We start from the raw sequence: 2,088 nt of genomic DNA, 5'->3' as shown, positions 1-2,088 counted from the left end.
TGAGTGATGAATAAGCATGTAATGTCATTTTATTGTTATTATTATTGGTTACAATCTATTCTTACTACTTTTTCTACTCCCCCCACATACTGTAAATGTATCATCATGTCACTCCAAATTCAGAAATTTTCAAATCTCTTTTTAGCTTGTGGCACTGCATGGTGCCACCCATGTTTATAGTTATTCAGTTCCAATCTACTTCAAACCTCAGACGTGAAAAGATGACATTTCTTACACATTAAGATAAACAGTGCATTCTTTCTATCACTCCAGGGAATATGTTAGTTGGGTGCTATGATTTTTGCATTTTGCTGTTTATAATATTAATAGCTATGCAATAAGAAGTGTACTATTGAACTGTCAAGAATGATTTGTTACCAGATGTTAGCATAATTTGCCAGCTGTCAAATTTTAATAACTTTTATTTGCCTAAAATGTGACACTTAACTTTCATGGTAAATCAAGACATATAGCAGGGCTTATTTGGTATTACAGAAGCTAAGAAAAAGCTTGCATGAGCCTTGATGGTTTCAACACCTTTAATTGAGCATACACTTTGCACATGGCATTTTGAATATTTTTTTTTCTGATAGATTGAAAAGTTGTGCTTTGCCTTATGCTTTTTATTCACTGAGCTTTGTGTAGAACTAGATAACTTACAGCTCTTCAATACTTACAAGCTGGATGCAACAATCAAAATATACTTTAAAATGTTAGTTTTATCATTTAAATTTATCTCATCTTATTTCCATTCTCTGATAATCTCAAGAGGTGCAAAGAGAGAAACTAATTATTTAAAATAAACAAATATCCTTTTCACAAGATGGTGCCAAAAGCGAAGAAGGAAGTTCCTGCCCCTCCTAAAGCTGAAGCCCAAGGGAAGGCTTTAAATGCCAAGAAAGCGGTGTTGAAAGGTGTCCACAGCCACAAAAAAAAAGAAGATCCACACGTCACTCACCTTCTGGAGGCCCAAGACACTGGGACTCTGGAGGCCGTTCAAATATCCTTGGAAGAGCGCTCACAGGAGAAACAAGTTTGACCACTATGCTATCATGAAGTTTCCTCTGATCACTGAGTTGGCCATAAAGAAGATAGAAGACAACAACACACTTGTGTTCACTGTGGATGTTAAAGCCAACAAGCACCAGATCAAACAGGCTGTGAAGAAGCTCTATGACATTGATGTGGCCAAGGTCAACACCCTGATTCGACCTGATGGAGAGAAGAAGGCATATGTTCAACTGGCTCCTGATTATGATGCTTTGGATGTTGCAAACAAAATTGGGATCATCTAAACTGAGTCCAGCTGGCTAATTCTAAATATATGTATATCTTTTCACCAAATACATGCCTTTCTGTCAATTTCTGGTTGGGCTGGGAGGCCATACACAGGCACTGATGCAACAGGGACACTAGAGTTAGTGTCCTAGGAAAACCAGAACTCGGAACTTGCCTCCATGGTTGAGGGTAACAAGAAGCTTTACAAGAACCCCTTCTTTTATCCCTGGAAGACGATGTGTGTGAAACCAATGCCCAGAGTTTGAAGGGCATTAGCGTCCATTTCAGGGGAGTATGGGTTGGCTAGCTTTTGAGTAGCATTTTGTCCTCACATACCTGTCTACTATGTCCAACCGGTCTGTCTGCTTCCCTCACCCCTTGCCCAATAGAGGGCAAGGATTTCAGAGGAAAAAAATGATAACAATAAAAATAAATAAATAAAATATTTGTGACTCTATTTTAAAATATTGACATTTTAATTTATTATATGCATATCATTTAAAAAATATAAATTCAGCCTCTCAGTAATTTTTCCAATCTCTTTTAGGTACTCATCTTTGATACCATGGGTGTTATTATCTGTGTCCATACCACAAACTTGATTTGGTCATTTCATTCAAGTGACTTATCACCTAGCAGAAATACAAACAACCACCAATGCCAGTGGTATCACTTTCATTTCCATTATTAGGCATTAAGTTTAAAAATGTTCAGCCACTTGTATTTAGGACAGAAAGACAGAACCAAAGTTCTCTGTATCTAGCAACTTAAAAAATCTGAGATTCTTTTCTCTCCATTTTGTTTTCTGTG

At 37.0% G+C, this 2,088-nt stretch overlaps 1 pseudogene; it reads left to right on the top strand.

Moving 5' to 3' along the window:
• RPL23AP38 (ribosomal protein L23a pseudogene 38) lies at positions 812-1,532 on the top strand (annotated as a pseudogene).
• The last annotated feature ends 556 nt before the right edge of the window (positions 1,533-2,088 follow it).

Source organism: Homo sapiens, chromosome 3 (genome assembly GCF_000001405.40).
Source record: "Homo sapiens chromosome 3, GRCh38.p14 Primary Assembly".
Taxonomy (NCBI): domain Eukaryota; kingdom Metazoa; phylum Chordata; class Mammalia; order Primates; family Hominidae; genus Homo; species Homo sapiens.
This window is presented reverse-complemented; position numbering and strand designations above follow the sequence as displayed.